Source organism: Homo sapiens, chromosome 15 (genome assembly GCF_000001405.40).
Source record: "Homo sapiens chromosome 15, GRCh38.p14 Primary Assembly".
Lineage (NCBI taxonomy): Eukaryota > Metazoa > Chordata > Mammalia > Primates > Hominidae > Homo > Homo sapiens.
The window spans coordinates 40283891-40308764 of NC_000015.10; the positions used below are offsets into that span (position 1 = coordinate 40283891).

The 24874-nt window shown below is 55.6% G+C and overlaps 1 protein-coding gene across 31 annotated transcripts, besides 4 other annotated features; it reads right to left on the reverse strand.

Annotated features, from left to right (window-relative positions):
• PLCB2 (phospholipase C beta 2) lies at nucleotides 366-24045 on the reverse strand. Of its 31 annotated transcripts, none has more exons than XM_047432679.1 (33): nucleotides 23699-24045; nucleotides 20111-20188; nucleotides 19398-19466; nucleotides 18579-18719; nucleotides 18380-18459; nucleotides 18246-18299; nucleotides 18067-18142; nucleotides 15238-15338; nucleotides 14908-15074; nucleotides 14672-14818; nucleotides 14333-14490; nucleotides 13987-14069; nucleotides 13631-13715; nucleotides 12856-13018; nucleotides 12632-12744; nucleotides 12406-12502; nucleotides 11962-12000; nucleotides 11311-11395; nucleotides 11046-11170; nucleotides 10376-10530; nucleotides 9670-9834; nucleotides 9036-9135; nucleotides 8449-8553; nucleotides 8174-8268; nucleotides 7959-8034; nucleotides 7716-7760; nucleotides 7375-7597; nucleotides 7128-7293; nucleotides 6871-6947; nucleotides 6687-6782; nucleotides 6135-6192; nucleotides 5382-5468; nucleotides 366-641 (listed from the first exon to the last, which is right to left on the reverse strand). In XM_047432679.1, exons 1-33 carry the CDS (start codon nucleotides 23780-23782, stop codon nucleotides 621-623), a joined length of 3414 nt encoding a protein of 1137 aa, XP_047288635.1. In that variant the 5' UTR covers nucleotides 23783-24045; the 3' UTR covers nucleotides 366-620. The 31 variants fall into 31 exon arrangements, 30 of the variants coding, with proteins under 30 accessions (XP_047288635.1, XP_047288638.1, XP_047288636.1 ...); XM_017022319.3 differs by lacking the exon at nucleotides 366-641 and adding an exon at nucleotides 1578-2184; XM_047432668.1 differs by lacking the exon at nucleotides 366-641 and adding an exon at nucleotides 4019-5049 and having other exon boundaries at nucleotides 12868-13018.
• Nucleotides 7417-7962: an enhancer, noted in NCBI's record as "H3K4me1 hESC enhancer chr15:40583508-40584053 (GRCh37/hg19 assembly coordinates)". NCBI's record gives its function as "activates a minimal SCP1, AML or CMV promoter by ChIP-STARR-seq in naive H9 embryonic stem cells {active_cell/tissue: H9 hESC(naive)}" and the evidence as "EXISTENCE:reporter gene assay evidence [ECO:0000049][PMID:30033119]".
• Nucleotides 7963-8507: an enhancer, noted in NCBI's record as "H3K4me1 hESC enhancer chr15:40584054-40584598 (GRCh37/hg19 assembly coordinates)". NCBI's record gives its function as "activates a minimal SCP1, AML or CMV promoter by ChIP-STARR-seq in naive H9 embryonic stem cells {active_cell/tissue: H9 hESC(naive)}" and the evidence as "EXISTENCE:reporter gene assay evidence [ECO:0000049][PMID:30033119]".
• Nucleotides 11926-11975: an enhancer, noted in NCBI's record as "active region_9239". NCBI's record gives its function as "activates an Ori minimal core promoter by ATAC-STARR-seq in GM12878 lymphoblastoid cells {active_cell/tissue: GM12878}" and the evidence as "EXISTENCE:reporter gene assay evidence [ECO:0000049][PMID:35858748]".
• Nucleotides 18218-19027: an enhancer, noted in NCBI's record as "H3K27ac-H3K4me1 hESC enhancer chr15:40594309-40595118 (GRCh37/hg19 assembly coordinates)". NCBI's record gives its function as "activates a minimal SCP1, AML or CMV promoter by ChIP-STARR-seq in primed H9 embryonic stem cells {active_cell/tissue: H9 hESC(primed)}" and the evidence as "EXISTENCE:reporter gene assay evidence [ECO:0000049][PMID:30033119]".

The following is a 24874-nucleotide window of genomic DNA, read 5'->3' on the forward strand; positions in this document are numbered from 1 at the left end:
GGACATGTTAAAAGTTCCCTGGCGCCGCCACCCTGGAAAGAGCTAGGGACCCACTCGAGGTTCCCTGCCCCTCGCTTCTCCCTTGAGCACAAAACAACCCCCAGGCCACAGGGCTCTGGCTCTGACCACTGGCTGACCCCTAAAGAGAGGAGGCGAGCACAAGTTCCATTTTCCGTAAGATGCTTGGAGAAACCACTGCATCTCCTCTCCCTCCGGCCAGCAGGTCCCCCTCGGTCCTGGAGGAGGGGGGATGATACACAGGCCTGGGCGGAGCAGAGTTAGGGCGCCTCAGAGCCTGGGTGTGGGTGGTGGGGAGGGTGTGAGTAGGGTTGGAATGGATATTTGTAAAGTAAGGAGTAAAGCAGTTATCAGCTGCAGAATTTACTGAGACTTTTCATGAGCCGCACATTTTGTTGCCGGCAGCGGGTAAGAGAGAGACAGAATCTCGGTTCTGGGTGCGAGACGTTCCACCTCTTAAGAAGACAACACTGGGACTTAAAAAATGGACGTTGTCACCTGAGGGCTGAATTCTTCTGCTAAATACGTACCAACACAGTCCTTGGATGAAAAGATGGAGTTGTGGGCAGGAGAGGGCTCTCGGGCCTTTTAAAGATAGGCCTTCAAGGATGTGCGGGATCTGGCTGCAAAAGAAAGAAGGAAGGAATCCCAGGCCGGGTGCAGTGGCTCACGCCTGTAATCCCAGCACTTTGGGAGGCCGAGGCGGGCGGATCACGAGATCAAGGGATCGAGACCATCCTGGCCAACATGGTGAAACCCCGTCTCTACTAAAAATACAAAAATTAGCTGGGCGCGGTGGCACGCGCCTGTAGTCCCTGCTACTTGGGAGGCTGACGCAGGAGAATTGCTTGAACCTGGGAGGCAGAGGTTGCAGTGAGCCGAGATCACGCCACTGCACTCCAGCCTGGAGACAGAGTGAGACTCCGTCAAAAAAAAAAAAAAAAAAAAAAAAAAAAGGAAGTAATTCCAGACGGGTTCTGGAGGCAAAGGCTTGGAAGCAGGATAAACCTTCAGGGGACACTATTGAGGGCTGCTTTAAGGGGTCCCTTCCTATCAGAGACAGGAAATAAGGGAAGAATGATGGTGTTCTCAGTCTGAGCAGATGCTTTGGAGTAGGAGATGCCTGGGGAAAGGTACTGGGCATAGATAGGCGTGGCAAAGTGGGCTCATGGCCCTGCACCCTGAACCCCTTGCCTCTCTCCAGCTCCCAGGCTCCGGGGATGTCCACCTTGAATTTGGCACCCAGGCCATGGAGCAGAGGCTCCCACTCCCCTCTGTCACGTGAGGAGCGTGTGATGTGTACCTGCATCCACTACGAAGCCCCCCTTTTCTCTTTTTGCATTTGTTAAGCCTTTGGTCAGGGATCTGCCAATTTTCTTTCCTGGTGTCATGAAAAGGCCACAGATCTGACATCAGCGTTAAGTCCCAGCTTGAAGGCATTTACTAGCAGTGTGGCTCCAAGCCTGCATATTCTCAGCTGCAAAATGAGACTGATAAATACCAGCCCTGCCTGCTTTACACAAGAACAAGTTAGAAAGTGTCAGGGAAAGAGCTGCATAGTTATTTCATTTTTTTTATTTTGTTTTGTTTTGTTTTCTAGAGCTGCATAGTTATTTAGAGTGCAGCCCTCAAAGCTGCTCCCGCCCCAGAGCTAGGGCCCCCTTCTGGGGTGGCCCCCAGGAATGGATAGAGACTCTCCACCCCCAGTAACTGGGCAGGAATGCTCTCCTTTACTCAGCAGAAGAAAGGCTTTTCTTCCCTTTATGACTCAACTTCTCTTTTCAGCACTGTGAGGGAAATTGCTTTCTTCCCTTCTATTTCCAAGGTCAGAGGAGGGTGTACCCCTGGAACCTGTGTGTGGCCCACCAGCCTGACAAGCCATGACTCACACCCCCCCAGGTGGAGGAGAGAAGCAGCAGAAACCCAGAATGGGCACTTTCTTGGTCCTGAAGAGCCCCTCCTCCCTGAGACAACTGAGCTTCATTTCTGTTCCTGTTCCTCCGTGGTGGATTGAGACAGTTCCAGGGAAGAAGAGTTGGGGCAGAAAGTGCTGTGCTGGGTACCCTTTGGAAGGAGCAGTTGGTTCCCATGGCAGGAAGGGGGTGGTGGTGCCAGGTCTCGAGCCCTGGAGCCTTTGCTCTGACTTCTCTATGGGCTCAGTATGTTCTGAACAGAAAAGAAACAGCAAAGCTGAAAAAAAGCTGAGACTTTGCTGCAGAGCACAGAGGCACCAACAGCCGGAATTAGAAGCTGTCGCTTAGGGAGCTGAAGGCTGACAGGAGATGGAGCCCAGGCAGGCAGGGGGCAGGCAGGCACGTCATACTCACCTCCCCTCCTCTCCCCTCCTGTCCCACCTGCTGGGCCTGTCCTCCCAGCAGGCCCCAGGCTGGCAGAAGGGCTCCCTCCCCAAGATGCCTCAGTGTGGTCTGCCACTCTGTCTGCAACTGCCTCCCTCTCAGGCCCCTTCTTTCCTCAAGTGTCACCAGCCCCCTCACGCTGTCACGTTGCACCAGCTTGGCAGGGTTGGGCCTGGTGGCATGTGTCTGGGAGATCCAGAGGGCTGCTCAGGGGATGCAGGGGGCGGGGTGAGTCAGCAGGGGACTCGAGTCTGAGTCAGCAATGGAATTGGGAAAGGGGTAGGGACCCTTCTCTTTGTGCAAAAGGTGAAACTGAGGCATGATGCGTGAAGGGAGCCTTGCCCCAGTCCCATAGATACACAGCAGTGATGGAACCCAGGTGTCCTTCACCTGCCCCAGTACCCCAAGGGAAGGCGTCAACTCTTCTTCTATACATCCCCTGCAGCCAGAGACTAATTCATCTCCAGGACCCAGAGATGGCATTTGCCTAAGGGACACCTTGCCTTTTTGGGAGGAAAGCAGGGAGGCAGGTATCTAGGCCTGGCCACATGGGAAGGCCCCAGTCGGCTATGCAGAGGCCTCTCCGGGGGCAGGATTGCATCGCCTTCCCCATTCCTGGGCTACCCAGCTCCAGACTGGGAGCCCAGAGACTCTGCGTGGCCTGGCCCAGAGGTGAGGGGAAGGCAGCTTTTCCTTCTCCTGTACAGTCATCAGCAAAATCTGGGGGCTGCCCAGTGGGCTCCATTGGGCTCTGGCTCTGGCTTACGTGCACATGCCTGGGTCAGTGAGTTCCTCTAGGCCCGAATCCTCACCTTTACAGCCCAGTGCCTGGCAGAAGGGTTGAACATAGGGCACCACCCTGGGGTATAGGTGGTCTGCCCCAGCGTATCCAGTCTGTAATGATGTAGGGAGCAGGCTGATCAATGCTAGGCCTTAGCCCAGTAAATGATCAGCCCCCTCACCTCACCCTACAGCCAGGGCCTGGTAGAATCCCAGAGGTCAGACTCCCAGAGGGATGGGATGGCAGGGTGGGGGCAGGAGGACCTGTTTACTTTCCAAAGGAACAGGTGCTCACAGCTAACGGCATGTGCTGTAACTCTAATAAGAAAACAACCTCTTCCCAGAATCAATCCCCCTCTGCCTCCTAAGCCAGTGCCTGTCCCTATTTGGGATTTGGGATCATGTCATCGGTGCAGTGAGTGGCTGCCCACAAGCCCCTCCACAGCAAGTTTTGAGGTCAACCATAGCTGCCATAGGGTCCTGAGCATCCAACCACTCTGTCTTCCTAAAGGGGCCTAGATTGCCTAAAAGTTTGGAACTCCCCCTAAAATAGGGGACATCTTTGCACTCAGCTCTTCTGCTCCAACCCCGAGAGTGGAGACAATGAAGGGCCACATCTGTGTGGGGGCGAAGAGGGGGTGACATAATTTTCCAGTGATTGTGGCATCAGGGCCAGCAGAAGGGGAAATGAATCCTCTTCAAGTCCAGAGGCAGGGCCATTTCACTGGACTCTGGAAAGGACCTCACCCTGGGTTCAGCTCCCAAGAGATTTTTTTTTCCCCAGCCCGTTTCATTTCAGGGGCACTCCACTACCCTGCCCCCATTTTCTACCTGTAGAATAGAGACCAGGCTTAAGCAGGAAACACTGGGACGAGGTTCTTTAATAGGAGTAGGAAAGAGAAAAATAAATAAACCTCATAAATTCAGGAGAGCAAATGATGCTGACCTTGTCAGGCAGGCAGCCTGAGAGGGGTACATGGTAGGAACTGCCTGCCCCCAGGCCTAGGAAGAGGGGTGAGCCAGGGTCAGGGTGGAACAGCACCCAAGAGCCCACTGCCCCTTGTGACTCAGCCAAGCAGGGCCAAGGCAGCTTTTCCATTTCAGCCTCCCGTTCCGGACAGGCAGAGGGGAGGGGAGGGCCCTCAGCCAGGGAGTGGCCGTCCCCAGGGAGCTGTGAGGTAGTGCCAGGATCTGCCTCAAGGAGTGGACAAGGCCAACTCAGGGCAGGCCTGATGGGGCCTGGAAGCCTGGGGCAGGAGGGTTCGGGGCTAGAGTGGAGGTGAGTGGGTCCAACCCTCCAGGTGAGGAAACTGAGCCCAGAGCTGGTTGCTCAATAGGAAAGGCAGAGTGGGGCCAGGATCCCACTTTCTGCCTTCCAGTCCATAGTCTTTTGCCCTCAACAAATATATGACACTTATCTAGAGATGGAGGGGGAGGTAGGAAGTCAGCTTGAGAAGACTTCTAGGCCCCAGAGAGGCCCTGCCGTGAGGGTGCCTGGGTCCTGTCTCAGACTCTGGCCTGGCCGTTGAGGAGGGGGCTGCAGCGTCCAAGGCAGCCACAGGTTCCCACAGCCTCAGAAGGCTGGGGCTCCTTTTTCCTGGGGGAATAGAACCACATCCCAGAGAAGGGGCTGAACCTCCTTGCTAAATGTCCCAGTGGGATGGGGGCATCAGAGGCGGCTCTCCTGGGCATCTGCCTTTGCTATGAGTGGGTCCTGCTCACACAGCTCTGGGGGGCACTCGCAGGCCCTCTCAGGCTTGTCCTTGGCCTCGGAGGGAAAGCAGGTCCTGAGGCAGGCCCTCACCGACTCCTTCACCTCTGCCTCCAGACCCTTCATCCTGGCCTCGTACTCTGCCAGCGCCTCCTTCTGGAACTGTGGAGACAGCAAGGACCCCTGCCTGGCTCAGGAGGGGCCTGCTGGCCACCCTCGCTCCCTGGACAGTGGGAACAGGAGATGCCCAATATCCATGTTCGGAGCTCCCAGGAGACTGGGGTGAGAGGCAGGGTGGGGGAGTGGTAGAGCCCATCAGGAGCCTCTCAGGAAAGGGGATCCTAACCAGGCGGAGATCTGCAGAGCTGCCTCATTTGAAAGGGCCTCGGGACCCCACAGTGAAGGATGATGGCCCCCTTCCCCTACCCTCTCACTGGCAGCTCCCTGGGGCAAGGCCCCTTTACAACCCGGAACCCATTCAGTTCTGCTGGGGGTCCCAGTAGTGAACCTGTTACCTGCTTTTCCATCTCCCGTATCTGTTCCAGGCAAGCCGCCTGCTTCTCCTCCAGCTTCTCCTGGTGCCTCTCCAAGTTCTCCGTCATCTGGGTGGGAGTGGATGGCAGAGAATCAGGACAACACAGACAGGCAAGCTGGGTCAGAATCCAGCTGTAATCCCAGCTAACTAGTTGTAAGACTTTGGGCAAATTCCTTAACATTAGGTAGTTTTTAAAATTTGTAAGATAAGGATAGCAGCACCTGTCTCACTGGACTGTAAAAGATTATACAAGACAGCTCATGTGAGGCACCTGGCAGAGTGCCTGGCACAGGTCAGGACCCAGTAGGTGGCAGCTGTGTTCTGTGGTTAATGATCCCTAGGGGAGCTTCAGGTCCATTATTCCTTGGCACCTCAGGAAGCTTCCTCACTCCCTCTTCATCCCCTGACCCTCGCCAGTCCCAGCCTCCCCTGGCCCTGATATGGGCCAGTTAGCCCATATCATTTCCACACATGAGAACTGGCCAGAGACAGATCCCTTCAGGCTGGTACCCCAACCTCCATACACAGGCCAGAACCCCAGGATGTCCCCTGCCACCCCAGCTGCATGGACAGCGCTAGGCAGTGCATCTCCTAAGGGCAAAGTCAGGGCCTGGGGCCACCCCTTCCTACTTGTGAAGAGAGAGAGAGAGAGAGAGAGAGAGAGAGAGAGAGAGAGAGTGTGTGTGTGTGTGTGTGTGTGTGTGTGTTTAGGAAGGACACAGCCCTTACACACCTGCTTGATCACCTGCACTACTTCCTGGATGTGGGAGTTGTTAATCTCTCTCTTCAACCTGTTGGTGTAATTGGAGTTTTAGAAAAGGGAGAAAACCCCTAGGGAGAGTAGGGTAACATGAAGTCTACGCAGGATGTAGGCAAATGAGAAATCCAACATAGGGCAGGAACCAGCTGGGGGCAGGTGTGGGGACCCAAGGAGTATGTAGGGGCCACTGGGAGTCCTGGGGCCCTCTGAGGGAACCATTTCCCCATCAAAACACACTGTCCTTCCGTGGGAAACAGTGCCACCACAGTGGACAGGCTACAATCCCAAGGCCTCAGCTCCCTCCCTGCAGGCTTGGCTGCCTCCAGAGCTCTGCCCATGTAGTGTTGGCCTCCGTGTTTTGTCTGAGGAGGACACTCTGATCAAAGGTGACAGGGGGGATCCGCTTTTTGGAGAGCCAGGGGACAGATGCATCTTTGGGAAGTGAGTCAGGATCCATTTGTAGAGAGGCCCCTTTCCACCTGAAGTGGGGTCTGCCCAGCCCTGGGCCTCCCCTCCAGGGCTCACCTCTCCTGGGCCATCTTGTCTGTGGTGACTTTGGTCATGCCCTGGATCCGCTCCAGTCTCTTTGTCTCCAGCTTTTTCTTCATCTCTTTGGTGTCGCTGCAGAGAGACAGGCATGAAGGAGCTGTTTTGTGCGGCTGAGCCCTTGCTGGGAGGCGAAGCAGGTGTGGGAGGGAGGCAGTCGTACTTCTCCGACGTCTCCTTCAGGGCCTTCAGCTCTGCCGCCTGTTTCTCTCTGGCCAGCTCCATCATTTTGGAGATTTGCTGCAGGGAGAGGAAGTAAGCTTGGCGAGAAGCCCTTTGTTGTTCAGAGGGAGTACGGGGGGCGGGGGTCGGTGGAGGGGAGTCGGTGAGGGGGTTGGGTCGGTGAGAGGGGCGAATGGGGTCCATGGGGGGTGGGGTCGGTGGGGCTGGTGGGGTTGTCGCCCTGCCCCTCCCGGCCACCTCGGCCACGTGCTGCTCCTTGCGCTTCAGAACGCACTCGTACTGCTCCTCGCCCTGCCGCAGCAGCTCCAGCTCCAGCCTGTCTTTCAGCTCCCGCACGCGCCCGTCCACGCCCTCAGGGCCCTCGCCCGGCGCGGCTCCGGCGCTCTCCTCGCGGGGCAGGCTCCTGGGGAGGCCACGTGGGGACAGGCCCTGAGATCCTGCGCCACCCGCGCTGCAGAGGGCAGGGCACCGCCACGAGCCTTACCTCTTCTTGCGAGAGCCCTTGCCGGGACCGAGCTTGCAGGCCCCGACGCCCCCCACGCCCGGTGGCCCGAGCTCCGCCAGCTGCGCCGCGCCCCGCTGCAGCAGCTCCTCCCAGCGCCGCGCTCCGCGCCGCTCCAACTCTCGCAGCTCCTTCTCGTGCCGCCGCTGCAGCTTCACCACGCCCTTTAGCTCCCGGAGCTCCTCCAGGCTGGCGGTCCGCGGCTCTGCGGAGGCCCGGGTGAGGCGCAACACCGGCCAGGCCGTCCTGCCCGTCCAACCCCCAAGGAGCCCCGGACCCGCCCCAGGCTCATCCCCGAGATCACCGGGCTCAGCAGGCCTTACCCGCAGCTTCTTTCATAGCCTCTTCCCTGGCCCCGGCCCTGGCTGCTGCAAGAGCCACGGGCTGGGCTGTCAGGTGCTCTGGGGGGCCCCTTGGCTCCGTTCGCCTCCTCCACACCGCCCCCTGGGAGTCGCAGTATGTGCCCCCTGCCCCGCACTTTCCCTAGGTGAAATTTTTTAAAGGGAAGTGCCTGTGGGTGCAGAGGTGGAGGTGCCCCCAGTAGGTGTGCGGACCGAAGCTCATACCTGGTGACCCATTGCTCGTTGGGGCCAACGCCCCATTGACCTGGCTGGCAACTGGACTCGCCAGTGGGAAGGGCTTCTGTGTAGGGAGAGCAGGTCAGGAAGGTGGCTTGACAGCCCTCTCTCCCCGAGCCTGGGACTCGGCCCTCTCCCCAGCCTCTCCCATAAATAGGGCTAATCTCTGGTGAGCCCCTGGCAGCAGTGCAGGCAACACAGACCTCAGGCAGACCTCCCATGGCCTCCTTGAGCTTCACAGACTTCGTGTCATGGGCACTGAAGAACTTAATGGGGTTGGCGAGGGCCACAGTGAGATCTGGGTGGGTGCACAGGACATTACAACATAGTGTATATGGAGATGTGGCTGGAAGTCTCCCCTGTCCTCACCCACTCCAGGATGCCCCATCTGGATCCCACCCCAACTCTGGAAGCTGGCTTGATGGGAAGGAAGGGGGAACAGACACCCCGAGGCTCCTGGCATGCCATGGGCTCCTACCTGCCCAAGCACCAGGTATGTAGTCCTTCATCTCCAGGAAGATGAAGAGCGCAGGCATGGTGAGGGGCATGTTGCTCTCACTGTGCAGGCACAGGTGGTGGTACCCTGTGAGACAGGACAGGGTAGGCAGTGAGCCAGAGCCCGTTCCTGCCAGCACTGTGCACACACAGCCTAGGACCCAAGGGTCTGAGTCTGGCACTGCACCATCCTGGCTGTGTGACTTCAGCCAGGTTACTTTAACTCTCTGAGACTTTACTCATCTATGAAGAGGGGATGAGTGTCTACTCATGTGGTTATTGTGAGGATGAAGTGAGAATGTATTATAAGCCCTTAGCAAATTTTAAATGCCCATAAGTGTCAGCTACTTGAGAAACTGCCCCAGCCGTTTCAGAAAATTACAGCAATTCTGTTAGGTGGGCAGAGTTCCCGCCTCTCTTAGGTTCCTGGAGAGGTACTGTTCTGCCCTACTCCTTACAATGTGAGGGCTTAGGTAAGGCCTCACTCCAGGCCCCCTCCCAGAAGCTGCCCCACCCTGTGCACAGGCTCCTGCTGCTGATCTTGGAACAGTGAAGGACCCCACTCCTTACCAGAATTTAGGGCATTGATGGGGATGATGCGGTGTCCAAGAAACTTGTTGCCTTCCTCCATCACAGCCACTCTGAGGGAGGCCAGCTCAGGCATCAAGATCTGGGGAGAGTTGGGGACATGACAGGCTGGGAGGGGAGAGAGGAGCCAAGCTGACCCCCTCCCTGGCTCCAGAAGTCTCAGCATCAGTGTGAGAACATGGTGAGTGTCACCAGATTTGGTGAGGACAGACAGAGGGCACACTCTAGGCCATATACAAAGACATCCCCACAGCACATGCCATGGCTGGTTCCACACAGGGGAGGAGGGCTGGATTTGCAGCCCAAGGCTGAGGGGGCCTGGCACAGATAGCCCTTGACAGCTTTGCCAGTGGGTATCCAGTGGGGCAAAAGACTCCCATGGGAACCTCAACCCTGAGTGCACATTTCTGCCTCTAATCTTCACACACACACACTCTGCCTACCAAGTAAACTTCTGTAAACTTGGGTTTTGCACTCTTGAAACAGGAGGGCCCAGGGTGAGGGATGGGAAGAGGAGGAGGAGGAAGGTCAAGGAGCTGCCTTGTTTACTTCCTCTTGTCTGTAAGTAGAGGCCAAGAACTAGACAGACTCTGCCCTGCCATGCCCTGGCCCCCACCTTCTCAAAGACAAAGGGCTCCTCCTTCCAGACAGGATTGATGGAGTTAGTACTGGGTGACAGCTTAGTTCGATAGCGCCTCTTGGGGTCCCCAGGAAGGCCAAACAGCTCCACTTCTACATAGGTGCGCACGCTGCGTTCTGACAGGAACTGCCCAGAGATCACCTGGGGGTAGGGGCCCAGGAAAACCAGCATCAAATCCCCACCCAGGCTCTTCCCCAAGCATCTGGGGCCCCTGGCTGCCTAGAGCTGAAGCATTCGTTCTTGGGTGTTATGAAGAACCTCACTCAGCTCTGGCCATGAGTAGAGAGGCTGTGTAGCCCACGGGTTACAGCTAAGCTCTGAGGACCAGGGTGCTTCTAGCATGAAGGGAAGAGGTGGGCCTCCCACCTCCCTCCCTAGCCAAAGAGGGAACAATGCCTTCCCCCAGGACCTGGGGCTCCGGCTGCCCCACTCTGCCCACTCTTCCTCCCCTCCCCCACCCCAGCCTCAGCCCTTCCCGTTGGTTTCCATGGGGACCAAGTGGCAGCCTCCAGTGCTGAGGAGGAGGCAGTTTCCAAGGCAACTTGCTACTGCAGGAACTGGCTGGGGCTGAAGTTTCCAGGATATCAGGGGAGGGGGTTGCGAGTTGAGTGAGGGGTGGGCTCCTGTGCCCTTCTACTCAAGACCTCAGCCTCCCGGCCACTTGTGTGCCCCAGGGCCTTGCCGTAATGGAAAGGGTGGTGGCCACCACCACGTCGATGCGGTCCACTGAGAAGGGGTTGAACTGCTTGTCCGGCCGGCGCATGAACTCATGCTTGAGGAGGTAGCCGCTCTGCCCGTTGAACTCAAATACTGCCATGTTCTGCTGCATGGGCAAGTCTGGAGGGACAAGGACACTCAGTGAGGAAGGCCCAGCCCTGGGGCTGTGCCCAGTCTCCATTTCCTCCATTCCCAGCCTTTGCTGTCTGGTGAATGGGGAGGTTGGGTGGACCGTGAGGATGAGGGCTTCTCCTGTCCCAGTCTGGTTCCTTGCAGTGTCTCCTCTCTTAGGCAGGGTCCACAGCCTGGAGGCAGCAAGGAGGAAAGCCACAGCCAGGCTGAGGGACTGTGGTGGGAGCTGGGGCAGCTGGGGCAGGTGGCCCACAGACATACCTGGGTGGAGCGGCCAGAACCCACGCCGGCAGCCTGGCATCTTTACATCCATCATGTATGCGCAGGCACATGGGCACAGGCTAATGCATTTCTACCCCCAAATTCTCACGCACCTGGGCATGCTCCCAGAGTCTACACTAACAGCAGGACTCCCCAGCCTGTTCCAAAGACCCCTCAAGGATGTAAAGGTGGGGGGCGCAGGGACCAGGGAAGGATTCTTAGGGGCCTGGGAATGCCCTCACCCATCGTCTGGAAGTTGAGGGCAACCATCTGGCATCCAGCATTCCAGAACATCTGGGGCATGTAGTTGGAGGAGTCCATGCGGGTTCCCTTGGGGTAAATGCGGCTCATCTGGCGCTTGTTGTAGCTGTCCCTGAGTTTAGGACCCTAGCCAAGGCCATCTGCACCAGGAGAACCTAACAGCTTACCCTGGGGGCCCTGTCCCCAGGCCCTCCTCTGGCTCCCCACCCAAGCCAAGGACCCTGGCCACTGAAACCTCAAGGATACTCCACAAACTGCACCGAGGCCTTGGAGAGCAGGTCATATGCCTTGAGCTCTGTGAAGGACGAGATGACATAACTTCGGTTCTTTTCTATATAGGGGAGAAAGGGAGGGGAGGAGTTTTATCAGGCTGTCCCCTCCCTCAGTCTTGGCCTCCCCTTTGGGGCAGCTCCCTCTGGCCTATAGAGATGCCTCCACCCCAGCATTTCCACTGAGACCTGAGGTTTAGGGACCAACCTCTGGGAGAAGTGTATGAATCACAGTGCCTGCTGGGGTGAGGGGTGTTCTCAGTGTGTATGCACAGGGGTGGGGTGTGTGCCATGGATGTGGAGAGTGAGACCCACATGCCATAGATGGGCACAGAGGGTATGGGGAACATGCCAGGCTGAGCCTAGGGGGTCAGTAACATGCTGTGCACACATGAAATGTGAACACATGCTTTGATGTGCACAGGGAGTGAGGTATGTAAGCTATGGCTGAACACGTCTGGGGAGAGGGGCACATTAACTGTAGTACATGCCATGAGTGTACCCAGGTGGGGATGCAGGCTGTGGGTTCAGGGATGAGAAGTTAGTGCTACAGAAGTCCAGCTGTGCACAGGAGGAGACAGAAAGAGGTGCTCGTGCATGGGACATGCAGAGAGTGAGAGCAACGTACTGTGCTTGTGTCCAGAGAAGATACAGGTAAACAGCCGGGCTGTCCATGAAAGGGGAAGCATGCAAAGGGGCAGTATGCTCTGGTGGTTTTCTCTGCCTCCACTCCCTCTCAGGAAGTCTCATGTCCCACGGCCAGGGCTTCTGGGCTTGGGCCAGCCCACAGCACAGTTCAGCCCTGGGAGCCACAGAGCCTGCAGGCAGCTGCAGGAGCCCCAGGCCATCCCAGCCAAGGTGGCCTGTCATAACGCCCAGCCTGTCACCGACACACTCCAGAGCATTCTGTTTGGTGCCAAGTTCCTCACTAGAGAAACTGGGAGCCACTGCCACTTAAGCAAGCCCTTTGCCTGACTCCGTGGCTGGATATTTATAGGCAGGGCCCCAAGTCCAAGGAAGGGGGAGATCCCCCTTCTTCTTACCCACCCGTAAGTTACTCATGCTAACTTACGGGCAGAGAACTCAAAGGAGACGAACTTGGTGGGCTGGATGTAATTGACTAGGCTGGACATCTCCTCATAAGCCGTCACTTCCAGGCCCGCTGTGCCCTAAGGAGAAGAGGGGAGGGCAAAGAAGAGGAGGATGGTGCAGAGCCCAGGAATGGGGCCCAAGGCCCCCATCCAGGGGGCTTAACGGTGGAGGATGACACAGAGGGGCCTGGGGCTACCCCCACACACCTCATCCGACTGCATCTTCTTAATCTCTTCTTCATCCAGGTTTCCTGACTCCTCCTCCTCTTCCTCTTCCACCTCCTCCTCCTCCAGCTCAGTCCCTTCCTCGCCAGCCCACACTGCCACATACAGCTCTGTCGGCACTGGCTCCTGCATGGCTCCTCCAGGTCCAGCCCCTCTCCTGTTCCAGATGCTCCTAATACCCCCCACCATAGTCCTCCCCGACTCACCTGTGCCCTCACCTGCAGGGGCACTGGGTGGGCTGCTGCCCTCAGCCTCCCCACCAGTATCCTTACTGGAGGAGGTGGGGCCAGAAAACTGGTTCTTCTTGTTCTTGATGAGGATCTTGCCCCTGAGATCCTCAGGGCTGGGCAGGGGGACACCTGGTTTTAGCTATGGAGTGGAGAGCAGGTCAGCACCATCTTCTCACCTTCATGGCATAGCCTGAGCTCCTTATTACCAGGCATGCTCCCTCGGCCTCCCCCACTCCTCTTGACCTGCCTCTCACTACTGCTTATCATCCCCATTCTCACTGAGATAAATCCAGCTTATCCCTTGGAGTAAATGCGGCTCATCTTGTGCTTGTTGTAGCTGTCCCTGAGTATGGGACCCTGGCCCAAGGCCATCTGCACCAGGAGGACCTAACAGGCTACTCTAGGAGCCCTGTCCATCACTTCCTCCAGGAAGCCTTCCCTGATCCCCAAGACCAGATCAGAACTCCCCAGGTGCTCCCATAACAACCACTGGATTGTAATGGCCTGGTTACTTGTCTGTCTCCTCACTAGAGGGTAATACACCTGAGGGCAGTGACTGTGTCTTTGTCACTAGCATACCCTGAAGCCCAGCCCAGTGCCTGACACACGGAAGGTGACAGGATCCCAGACCCGCATCTAACCAAGTGAACCCTAGCATCCTCTGGGAGTGTCTCCCTCCCTAACCTGGTTCTCACCCTGCCCCAGGTTCCCAGGCCCAAGGCTCAAATGTCCCACAGCGAAGCCCACTCACTGGGAACTTTTCCAGGGGCTCTGTGAGCAGCATATCCCCAAAGATCGTCCGGCAATACTCAGCCATCTTAGCCTGCTGGCGGGGTCTGCGGGGAGCAAAAGCGGGGATGGGGTTCAGCCGCTCAGCACCAACCCTATTATGCATCCTTTTGTGCCCTTGATGACCCAGATCAGGGGCCAGGAGGTCAGGGAGGCTGGGACTCGAGCAGGAGAACATGAGGCCTTAGGGTGATTATACTGAGACGTGGGAGAAGCTGTAGGCAATGGTTAGAGGCTGGGGCAGTTGTGGGGAGGACAGTTGCAGACAGGAGACTGGGGGCTGGGTGAGAATGTGGCTGAATGGGCCTGGATACGCACGAGTCCACATGGTTCTCAAACGACAGGATGATGGGATAGGGGGAGGTCTTAAAGGCGCTTTCTGCAATAGCCTCAATTGCTTCCTGGAGGAGAAGGAGACTCCATGAACAGAAGGTCAGCGTTCCGACTGCCTGTCTCGTGATAGCACTTTTCCCCCCTGCCTAGTTTCAATACACACATATAACTGCATGGCCGCCATTGGCCCCCAATCCCTGCTGGTCCCCAATGGTCTGAGGCCTTCCAGCCATTCATCTTCTCTAGCTTCAGCCCTCCAACCCCTCAAAGCTTCTGGCCCAGAGCCCTTCCCTACTGCCACGGCCACCAGCCTCTGTGCCCAGGGTCTCACTTTGAAGAAGATGTCTGTGGTCATGGTGAAGCCATGGGTGATAATGGGCTCCTCGTCAGGGGGTTTCCCCTTCCAGCAGTCTAGCTCCACGCAACGGCAGCCAGAGAGCAGCACCTGGCGGTACATCTCAGCCGAGGAGAGGCCTGAGAACTGGCCGGCTGAGCCAGAGGATGGGGAAGAGGTGAGGGCATCACCCAAAGGCAGCCCAGCTCTCCCCCTACCGCCACTCCATCATGGTCTGTGTTATTCTCAGGGCCAGCAGCATGTGGGCAACCCCTGTGGAGGATGCAGGGAACCCCTGTGAAAGCAGAGGTTGGCACCAATGTTATCAGGGCCCACCTGTCAGGTAGGTGTTGTGGGACGAGTTGATGAAGTAATGATTGAGTGGCTGCGTCATGTCGTGGTGGAGCAGCAGCTTGTCCTGGGCCAGCACGCTGTTCTCTGGCCCACAGAGAAACCAGACCATGCCTTCAGGTGACAGCTGGCCTGGGGGACAGGAGATAGCTGTCAGGCTACAACCCCGCTGCCAAGGCAGGACAGGACCACAGGGGACAAGGGGTTCCCTTAGTCCTCACCCCTCTGTGCATTGATGCCACTGGGCTCATACTTGTCGATGAGGCCCTGCACCTGGTCAGGCCGTGCTGGCGGGAACAGCAGGGAGTTAAGCCGGGAGTCCCGCTGTTTCTGGTTGATGAATTTGGTCAGGTGCTCCTTCGTCATGTAGGGTTTGGCCTTAGCATGGCTTCAAGCCAGAGAGAAGAGCACAGGTCCATATCCCTTGGGCCTGGAGGCTTAGACAACCCCCTTGTCCAGTGAAGCCTCCTGACTCCCGGCATGGCAGGTGGGAGGAGGGGATTGTTAGCCACCACCCTTTTCCCATGACCAGCACAACCCAAGAAACTCACTAAGAAGTGAAGATCTCATCTATTTCTGGCCGAGGACAGAGGCTCATGAGGAAACTCTTGTAGACAGGTTCTGGGAAGTCCTCAGGATTGATGGCGTCATTCTAGGGGCATAGTAACCTTATTGCCCCTGCCCTCACCTTCTCAGAGCTAAGAACCACAAACTCGGCCCAGCCCTGGTCAAGGGGACCTGGTCAGAAGGCGGGCTCAAGGCAGACAGAAGAACTTCAAGGACACCCAAGCATCCACTTCTCAAGGCCCTGGTTGCTGAGCAGAGAGCATGCTTAGCTGGTTTGCTCTGACCCTGATTTTGTACAGTGGCTATTCCATTGGCTGGGGCAGGATCGGAACTAAGAATAACCAGAATGAGGTAGAAAAGAGGTCAGAAGAAATGATGCTGCTTGCCAGGCTAGTAGGCTATCTTTTTTAAGTGGAGGACAAATATTCAAAAAGAAGCAATTTGAATATAAACATATATGCACCTAACAACAGAACCCCATAATATATAAAACAAAAACTGATAGAATTGAAAGGAGGACAATTCAACAATAATATTTGGAGACACCAAAAGCACCGGGACAAAGAAAGATAAATTAAACGTCATCAAAATTAAAAACTTTTGTGCTTCAAAGGACACCATCAAGAAAGTGAAAAGGTAACCCACAGAATGGGATAAAATATTTGCAAATCAGATATCCGATAAGAGATAAGTCAACAAAAAGACAACCCAGTTGAAAGATGGACAATGGATTTGGACAGGTATTTCTCCAAAGAAGATATATAAGTGACTAATAAACACAGAAAAGGTGCTCAATATAATTTGTAGTTAGAGACATGCAAATCAAAACCACAATGAGATACCACTCCCACTAGGATGGCTAAAACAAAAAACAGACAATCACAAGTGTCAGCGGGATGTGACTAACCTAAAACCCCACACAGCACTTTGGGAGGCCGAGGAGGGTGGATCACCTGAGGTCAGGAGTTCGAGACCAGCCTGGCCAACATGGTGAAACCCCATCTCTACTAAAAATACAAAAATTAGCCCAGCATGGTGGCACATGCTTGTAATCCCAGCTACTTGGGAGGCTGAGGCAGGAGAATTGCTTGAACCTGGGAGGCAGAGGTTGCAGTGAACTGAGATCACGCCACTGCACTCCAGCCCGGGCAACAGAGTGAGACTCTGTCTCAAAAATAAATAAATAAATCCCTACACAATGCTCTCACTTTAGAAAACAGTTTGGCGGTTTCTCAAATTGTTAAATATAGAGTGACCACATGACCCAACAATTCCACCCCTGGGTATATACCCAAGAGAATTTACACATGTTCACACAAAATCATGTACATGAATATTCATAACCAAAAAGTACAAAAAACCCAAACATCTACCAACTGATAAACAGATGAACAAAATGTGGTATATCCATACAATGGAATATTATTAGGTGGTAAAAAGGAATGAAGTACTCATGCATGCTACAACATGGATAAACCTTGAAAACATTATGAGAAATGAATACAGCCTGACATCGAAAAGCATATATTTATGATTTCATTTACTTTACCACCAGAATAGGCAAATCTATAGAAATAGAAATGAAAAGTACATTTGTGGTATTCAGGGATTCTGCACCTTTGCATTCCTTCCCCCCCCAAAAAAAACATTAAATGTCTTTCAGAATCACACTGGAAGGCCAACATCAGTCTTAGTTTGGAGCAGAGGGTCTGAGCAGGAGAGTCTAACTGGATCTCCCCAAACCCCTCCCTGTCTCTGGAGCTTCAGCTCCAAGCAAAGTTGGGTCAGTAGCCTCTACTGAGACACAAGGAAAGCAGATAGATAAGGAGGACTTAGCCAAGGGAGGAGCTCAGGCAGCAGGAGAGAGGGAGGGTGGATGTGTGCTGACCACAGGTAAGTGTTGCTGGCTGTAGGGGAGCCGCAGGAGCCCATTCCTACCTCTCCCCAACGCCACATTTGGATCCCTGTGACTGACTGCATCAAGGAGTCACCAACTCTGCAGAGCTGTGGCTGTGGGGTAAATGCTCCTCCTGGGATTCATGTGGGCAGGTGATCAATGGGGGTCGTGGTTTTATTTATTTATAACGTTCCAAATTCTTACCAGGAGAAAATACTCCATGGGGTATAGGCTGGGACCCACACAAGAGCACTGGCCAAGCAGGGACAGGGGCTGAGATTCGCTCCATTGGCCAGGCTTGAAGCCTAGCTCAGGGCCATATCAGCCCAGAGGGCTCCTTTTTGTAATTCACACAAGTTGCTTCATGGGGTGACCCTGCTTACAACTTGTAATTAAAAATTAATTATTTAACTAAAAAGACAGGGAAAAATGCTTTTCTGTACAGAGCAGAAGTCTGCATCTTGGCAGCTTCCGCCTTTGGTTCAGTTCCTCTCCCTCGACACGCTGCAGACTTCCAGATCCCTGCAGACTGCCGCCTGCCACTGCCGACCTTATCTCGCTCCTCCAGGCTGAAAACATTCACGCTCAGCTCCCATTCCCAACACTAGACTGGGAATGCATGCCGTTTCTGCTGCCTGCCCTGAACACAGTCCATCAACCACAGCCCCAGCGCCCCCACCACCCAGGGTAGGGGATACAGACAAACCTGCTTGGAGCTCAGGGTCTCACTCCCTTGCCCTGGCTCCACCCCTGTGCCTAGTGTCAGTAACCAGCAGCTCCAGGGTTGATTGGCTCTCCAGGCTCTTGGCTGGGGCTGTGATGTCACCTCTGCTCCCCCACCCACCATTCCTGGCCAAGTTGCTTTCTGGTGGGGACAAGAATGCTGGGGGATGGGCAGGGGTGCAGATCCACTCACTTTGCCTTTGGGGAGGTGGCAGGCACTGAGAGCAGCTTCCACCCGCTTGCGGTCAGCAGGAAACATCTGGAAAAAGCTGAAGGGGCAGAGAAAGGTACCAGGTACAGAGAGGAGTCAGGCCTGAGAAAGAAAGGCTTTGGGGAGCCCCTGGAAGCCTGGGGAGGGGTTGGGGGGCTCACTTCTTCACCGGAATCTTCCCTTCAGAGTTGAGCTGCATCTTGAGCTTCACAAGGCTGGGGGCAGAAAGCAGCCCGTCAAGGCCCAGGGCTGGCATGCTCAGCACCAGGGCTCAGGCCAGGCAGAGGGCACTTACATCTTGTCCAGGAAGGTGCTGCGGGAGGCGTTGGCCGTCAGCGGATGTTTGACTAGGGCCAGTACGTCCTCAGCCCAGGCCTGCAGGACCACAGAGAGCAGCGGTCAGGCTCCTGAGCACCCCCGCCCAGGCCTGTGTCTCTCAGGAAGTCCAGGCTATCCCAGGGGCCCAGACCCAGGCCCAGTGCTCCCTGGCACACCTTGCCCACGTTCTCCTTGTAGGAGACGAAGTTGTGGAAGGTGAGGTCCACCATGTCCGGGCCGGACACCACCGTGAGTGTCTTCAGCAGGAAACTGTTATCAGGAAAGTCCATGTTGAAGACGTCCCGGAGCTTCTGGCTCTGCAGCACGTGGTGGTATGGTTAGGATGGAGGTGTGCTCCCTCCCTGCCCAGTGTGGCTCTCTCTGGCCCTCCCCTCAGCCACTTGGGCTATGGCCCACTGGGCAGAACCCCATCCCCATCCCAGGAACCACAGGCCTTAGCATCTTCCTGTCCCTGACTCCAGCGGCTGGGATGGGAAGGAGAGGCCCTGAGGAAAAGGTTAGCCAAGATGGCGGGCAGGCGGGGAGGCCGGCCTGGGAGTCCTGTGTGTGTTGGTTGCCACTTTTGTTTGAAGATAGATTCTTAGCTCCCAGTCTCAGGAAACCCCGCTTCCCACCAATCCCTTCCTCCAATTTTCCTACCAGCATTAGGCAAATATAGGCAAACTAGTCCGGGGGTGGGGGTGTAAGCCACCCCTCCCAGACAGACTGGGGTGCTTTAGGGGCAGGAGGTGACCCCTCCTCCCAGATCCCTGCCATCTCAGCTCACTGTGCGCAGTTCTGAAGCTCAGAGCCCAGGCGAGCCCAGGAGCTGCCGCTCCCCTTCCTTGGCTTCCAGCCACGGTCCTTGCTGCCCAGCCAAGGAACCATTCCCCGTGCTTCAGAAGTCAGGCTTCCCACCCGCACAGGGACCCCTGCCCTTGCCCCATGGAGCTAGTAGCTGTGCTTGAGCCTGGGCTGCTACTGGACACACCTACCTTGGGCATCTTGGCAAACTTCCCAAAGCGAGTATCCCGGATGCTGGTGATATCCAGAAACTCCATCTCCTGGGGGCAGGGTGCGGATCCCGGTGGGAGCAAAGAAGGGATGTGGGACAAAAAGTCCAGGTCAAGAATGAGCAATAGGGAGAAGGGAGCTTCCACACCCTTCAAATCTTGGCCAACACCTCTCTCTAGATGCCAGGCTGCCCAGGGCCAGCTGGACCCAAACTTCCCTTCCTATGGCCCAGGTTCTCTCTATTCATGCAGATCCTCCTCCCTTTCCCTCTGTCCATTCCTCCCTGGCAGGGAGCTGGAGCCTGCAGTGTCTCCTCCACCATCCTGGACCCTTCCCAGCTTCCCCTTCCCGTCCTCCTGCCCAGAGGCTGGGGCCTATCTCTCATCTCCCAGAGCCCCAAGTCAACCCACAGCCACAGGCAGAGCATCAGCCTTCAGCAGCAGTGCTTTCGCCTGTCTCTCTCTCTCCCCAAGGGATGCTAAGGATGGAACATTTGGGTAGCCACAGGTTGGAGTGACTGCATCCTCCTTTCCAGAGCAAAGAGCCCCTGCCTACAGGGGAGCCTCTGGAGCCACCCTTCCAGGCCATTCTGTACTCCCCAGCATCCATGCCTCCACCTTGGTGCAGCCAGGGGGCTGTCTGGCCTCAATGATAAGCAGGAGTCCAGGGCCATGGCACACAAGGGTTTTCTCACCTTACTTTGATACGTCCAGTATAAGTAGTAGCCCTTAGGATCCACACGGAGGATAACTGGAGAGGCAACTGTAGTTTCCTGCAGAGAGAAGGAGCCAGCACTCTGTTCCAAGACCTCAGGCCAAGCCTCCCTGGTCCAGGCCAGGGGTTTCAGAGCTCATTATCTTCCCAGGAGGTGCCCATCCCAGAAATCTGAAGGCATTTCCTTTTGTTGTCTAGAGCTAAGCACCAGGAGGGACAGAGGATTGGGGATGCCATTTCTGGAAGAGAAGGGTTTTCCCCTCTAAAGCCCAAATAGACATTCTCCCTCTAGACCCTAAAGAGGATCTTGGCCCCTACCTCATCTCATAGAGCGAGACTCCCTACTGCCACCCAGGAGAGATTGACACAGCGAGAGCCAAGAGCCCAAACTCCTGCACCAGCATCCAAGGCCCTGCACAATCCAGATGCAACCTAACCTCCCATATGCCCCTTCTTCCCTCCATGAACACCTCCTACCCTGTCCATTCAACTGTCCCATAAAGATACCAAGCCTTCCCACCTCCAAACCTAAGTGCCCAAATCTCCTCTGCTTGAAATAACTTCAAGGACAACCCAAGCCCCCCAACTTCTGAAAACCCTTCCTGAAATGTGCTACAGTAACCGGGGGGATGTGAGTCACAGACCTACAAGCCCACCTAGGAAATCCCCAGGGACTCATGGACTCCAGGACAACAAGCCTGTGCTAGACCTTGAGCTTGGTGCTTGGTGCTTGGCACTTGAATGTGGTGTTTGCTGAATGAGCAAATGAATGAATGAATGAATGAATGAACTCACCTTCTAAAGTCCTGTTCCACTCACTGACAGAGCACATAGGCTACCTTTTAGTTTAACGGTCTTTGTATGTGTACATAACAAGATATTAAAATTAAGGTTTCCAGCAAGGCACAATAGTTGCCGTATACTAAAACAGACCAAATGCAGCATTTACAAGGTGAATGATCCAAAAAATGTTCTCAGATCAGAGGTGGTTAGAGTACAGGGAAAAGGGAAAATTTTTGTGGAGAAGCCAATTTTAAGAAAGCTGTGTTGGGAGCTCCATTCCCTTACCTCCCCAAGGGAGAGTTGGAGTGCCTGATCCCCCACCTTAAGCCTAGTGAGGGGTTTCAACTCTACTTAGAGAGCTTTTGTGATCTCTTTTTTTTTTTTTTTTTTTTTACCTTAAGTTCTGGGATACATGTGCAGAATGTGTGGGTTTGTTACATAGTATACATGTGCCATGGTGGTTTGCTGCACCTGTCAACCTGTCATCTAGGTTTTAAGCCTCGCATGCATTAGGTATTTGTCCTAATGCTCTCCCTCCCCTTTCCCCCCACCCCACAACAGGCCCCTGTGATCCTTGAAGTTGTAGGCATAACAGACAGAGGTCGGACTCCTGCCCAGGAGACCAAGTGGACTACAGCGAGCTAACTGTGTGAGGCAGAGCAGGGGGTGCTGGCCTGTTGGACAAGCCTGCACCCTTGGGACAATGGATGCATGGGTATTTGCTGGGGTCCAGGGTGGGCCCATGGGAGAGTGGGGGCAAAGGGCCTAAAGCCACAGGAAGCTGAAGGTGGTAAGAAGGGGCTGAAGACATAGTTGTGAGTGACCCCTAAAATAGAAATGCTGGGGGGACTTCAAGCAACAGGTTCCCATTCGAAGGGGTGGGTCTCCCAAGAATCCTCAAAAATGTCCTCCAGAGAAAGAATCAGCTTTAAGCTTCTGCCAGGCTCAGAAAGCATGAGCCAATTTATGACAGCACCTGTTTAAATAGAACTTGGTTACCCCTTTCCCACCTCCCTCCCTATAGCTCATGCCTAGAGGGGCCTTGAGCAGGACCAGCAGGGAATCCCACCAAGGCCCTTTCCAGGGGGCCTGCAGCCTACCTGAAACCATTCCTAGAAGGAGAAGGGTAGAAGATGTCAGTGTAAATAAAGGTTGGAGTTTTGATTATAGCCAGTTTCTGACATCGGACTGGATTTTGTGATGAAAAGTGACCACTGGACTGTGTTACCTGAGAGTAAATATAATGTCTTGTGGCCTTGCAGAGTTTCTTTCCATGGCCAGGGGGAGAGCTTCTCCTACCAAATATATTGTAAAGAGGCCATGGGAGATGAAATAAAGTTGGGATTTGCTTACATCCTATGTATTCTGCTTATTCAACATGGCACAGCACACCCATGCCATCCACTAACTGTGCCAAAAGCAGCCTGAAAGCAGAGCCCTGTCTCACAGCAGCATGGACCTGTGGATAGGCTTGGGACATTCTTGCTTGTGCAGGTCAGGATCCAGAGAACATCCAATGCCCTACCTTGGAGAGGGGAAGGGAACAGCCAGGTACACAGGTGCCAGCTTAGGAAGAAGGACAGTCTCCGCTGGCCACCAACCCCCGACCTCCACTGCCACCCTGTGACCCTCTGCCCAGTCAGGTTACACACACTGCCCAGAGGAACTGAGAGAGGCCACTTCGCTTTTCATTCTGAGCCACTTCCCTCATTCCACAGGCTCCTGGGGCATGTCACCTCCATGCCACTGCCATGCTACACCAACCCCACATCACTCCTAGGGAAGCAGGAAGCATCTCACCACAGGGCCCCAACCCATAGTCATGGGCAGCGAGATCCCCTAGCCTAGCCCAGCCCCGAAGGGCCTAGACCCAGACCCCCTCATCCCACCTCCCATCAGGTGGACAAGTCAGCACTAAGGGCTGTCTTCCCTCCCCCACCAAGCCTTCATTTCCCTTCCTGGGACAAGCCCAGCACTCTAACTCTCAGACTGGGCGAGCCCAGCAGCCTCCCCTCCCTGAAGGAGAATCTCCATATTGTTCTCTCCAGCCTAAGAGAATCCCTGGCCTAAGGTAACATTTTCAGGGGCCAGGAGAACCAGAGCCTGGGAGCAGCCCCGTGTAGGAAGGAACAGACACAGCAGAGAGAGGGCTGCAGGGTGCAGCAGTGTCTTCCCCTTCCCTTGCTGACAGGCCTGCATCGGGGAGCAATGCTGAGCCCAGCAAGGGGTAGCAGAAGTCAAATCAGCTCCTTCCCTGGGAGCAGAAGCCTCTAGTTCTCACTTAGGTCCAGGGGCCTTTTGTGGCTGCCCCCACAGCAGCGCAGGGGAGAGCAAGGCTTCCCTGGACAGGATGATGCCCAGTGGAGGGGGTGAAGGAGCTGGGTCTGAGCGCCCTGCCGGAGCAAGGGCAAGACATCTGTGCTGGGAGCGGGGACGAGCTCACCTCTCCTCCTAGCCTGCCTCAGCTCTGGGGTGCACTTTCCTCCTCTTCTCTTGGGGGTTTGAAGGAGAAGAGAAGCAGACCCAAATAAACTACCTCCAGTGACCACCCAGGCAGCTCACCCACTTCTCACACCTAGAACCAAGGCTTAGCCCTTTAGCTGGGGACATACACCCTTAATCCCAGGTTTGTTTATCCAAGCAGTGGTGTCAGCTGCCTGGCCAAACCACACAGGCGCCTGGATCCTAGGAGACATAAACCAATCCTCCCACCCAAGCAAAGCCCCGTAGCAGCCCGGCCCCCACCACCTGGTGCTCCAGCAGCTGAGGCCCCTGCCCCACTTACATCATCCCATTTGATGAAGCGCTCCCCTTGGCTCAGATAGGCCTTCACCTTGGGGGGCAGCAGGACAGGGTTGAGCAGAGACATGGTGCCAAGCGTTCCTCTTTGCAGAATCTCAGCAGACACAGGCAGGCAGAAGGGCAGGAAGGAGGCCAGCCAGGAGGGGGAGCCAAGCTGGGCTCAAATGGCACCCATCCCCGAGCTGCTCCAGAAATCTAGTTGCTCTTATAGCCCCTGGGGTGGCCCTGGCTGAGTGCAGGACTGAGCTGTAGCCAGAGGCCCATCTGCCTTGTAAATCACCCTCCTCCCACCCGCCCTGCCTGCCATGGGGGCCTGTGGTCACTGCTTCTGCCCAAGGAGGCTGAAGCAGGAAGCCCCCGCCTCTTCTGGAGGCCCCCGCCCCCACCCCCAGCCCCACCCTGTGCCTCTCAGCACTTCCTGCTCTGGGCTTCCTTCTCTGCGCTGCTCACAGCGGAGACGTGGTCATGAGGCCGGGTCGCCTTGGAGCCAGGGCCTCTCAGTCCCTGTGGTGGTCTCTGGTCAGATTTGGCCCAGGAGGGCTGGAGAAGGACGACATGGAGACCAGCTGGGGAGACTGCTGCCCAGGCCTGGACTGAGGGAAGGCACAGGGAGCTCACTAGGAGAAAGGACCTCCTCAGGGGAAGGGTCCAGAGCATGGGCATCTGACCCCAAAGGTTGGGAGCACCGTAGAGGCAGGGGTGGGGTGGGGACAGGGCCCAGCTGGAATGGAGTGTTTTGAATAAGCAAAGTTTGCTGAACACACGGCTCCTCTTTCTCAATGCTTCCTCCCCCATGAAAATGAGGTGCACCTGCCGGGCGGGCGGGTGCGGTGGCTCACGCCTGTAATCCTAGCACTTTGGGAGGCCGAGGCGGGCGGATCACGAGGTCAGGAGATCGAGACCATCCTGGCTAACACGGTGAAACCCTGTCTCTACTAAAAATGCAAAAAATTAGCTGGGCGTGGCAGCGGCGCCTGTAGTCCCAGCTACTCGGGAGGCTGAGGCAGGAGAATGGCATGAACCCAGGAGGCGGAGCTTGCAATGAGCCGAGATGGCGCCACTGCACTCCAGCCTGGGCGACAGAGCAAGACTCCATCTCGAAAAAAATAAAAAAAGAAAGAAAATGAGGGGCACATGAGGCAAGGCAATCACTCCCCTC

Bases quoted from the DNA above. Each gene is read 5' to 3' on its own strand.
- PLCB2 (XM_017022314.3), bottom strand. From the start codon at position 23,782: ATGTCTCTGCTCAACCCTGTCCTGCTGCCCCCCAAGGTGAAGGCCTAT. The intron at 13,716-13,986 runs GTGCGTATCCAG...TGCTCCCCGCAG, and splicing joins TTTGAGAACCATGTGGACTC to ACCCCGCCAGCAGGCTAAGA. The intron at 7,761-7,958 runs GTATGAGCTTCG...TGGCTCTTGCAG, and splicing joins AACGAGCAATGGGTCACCAG to CAGCCAGGGCCGGGGCCAGG.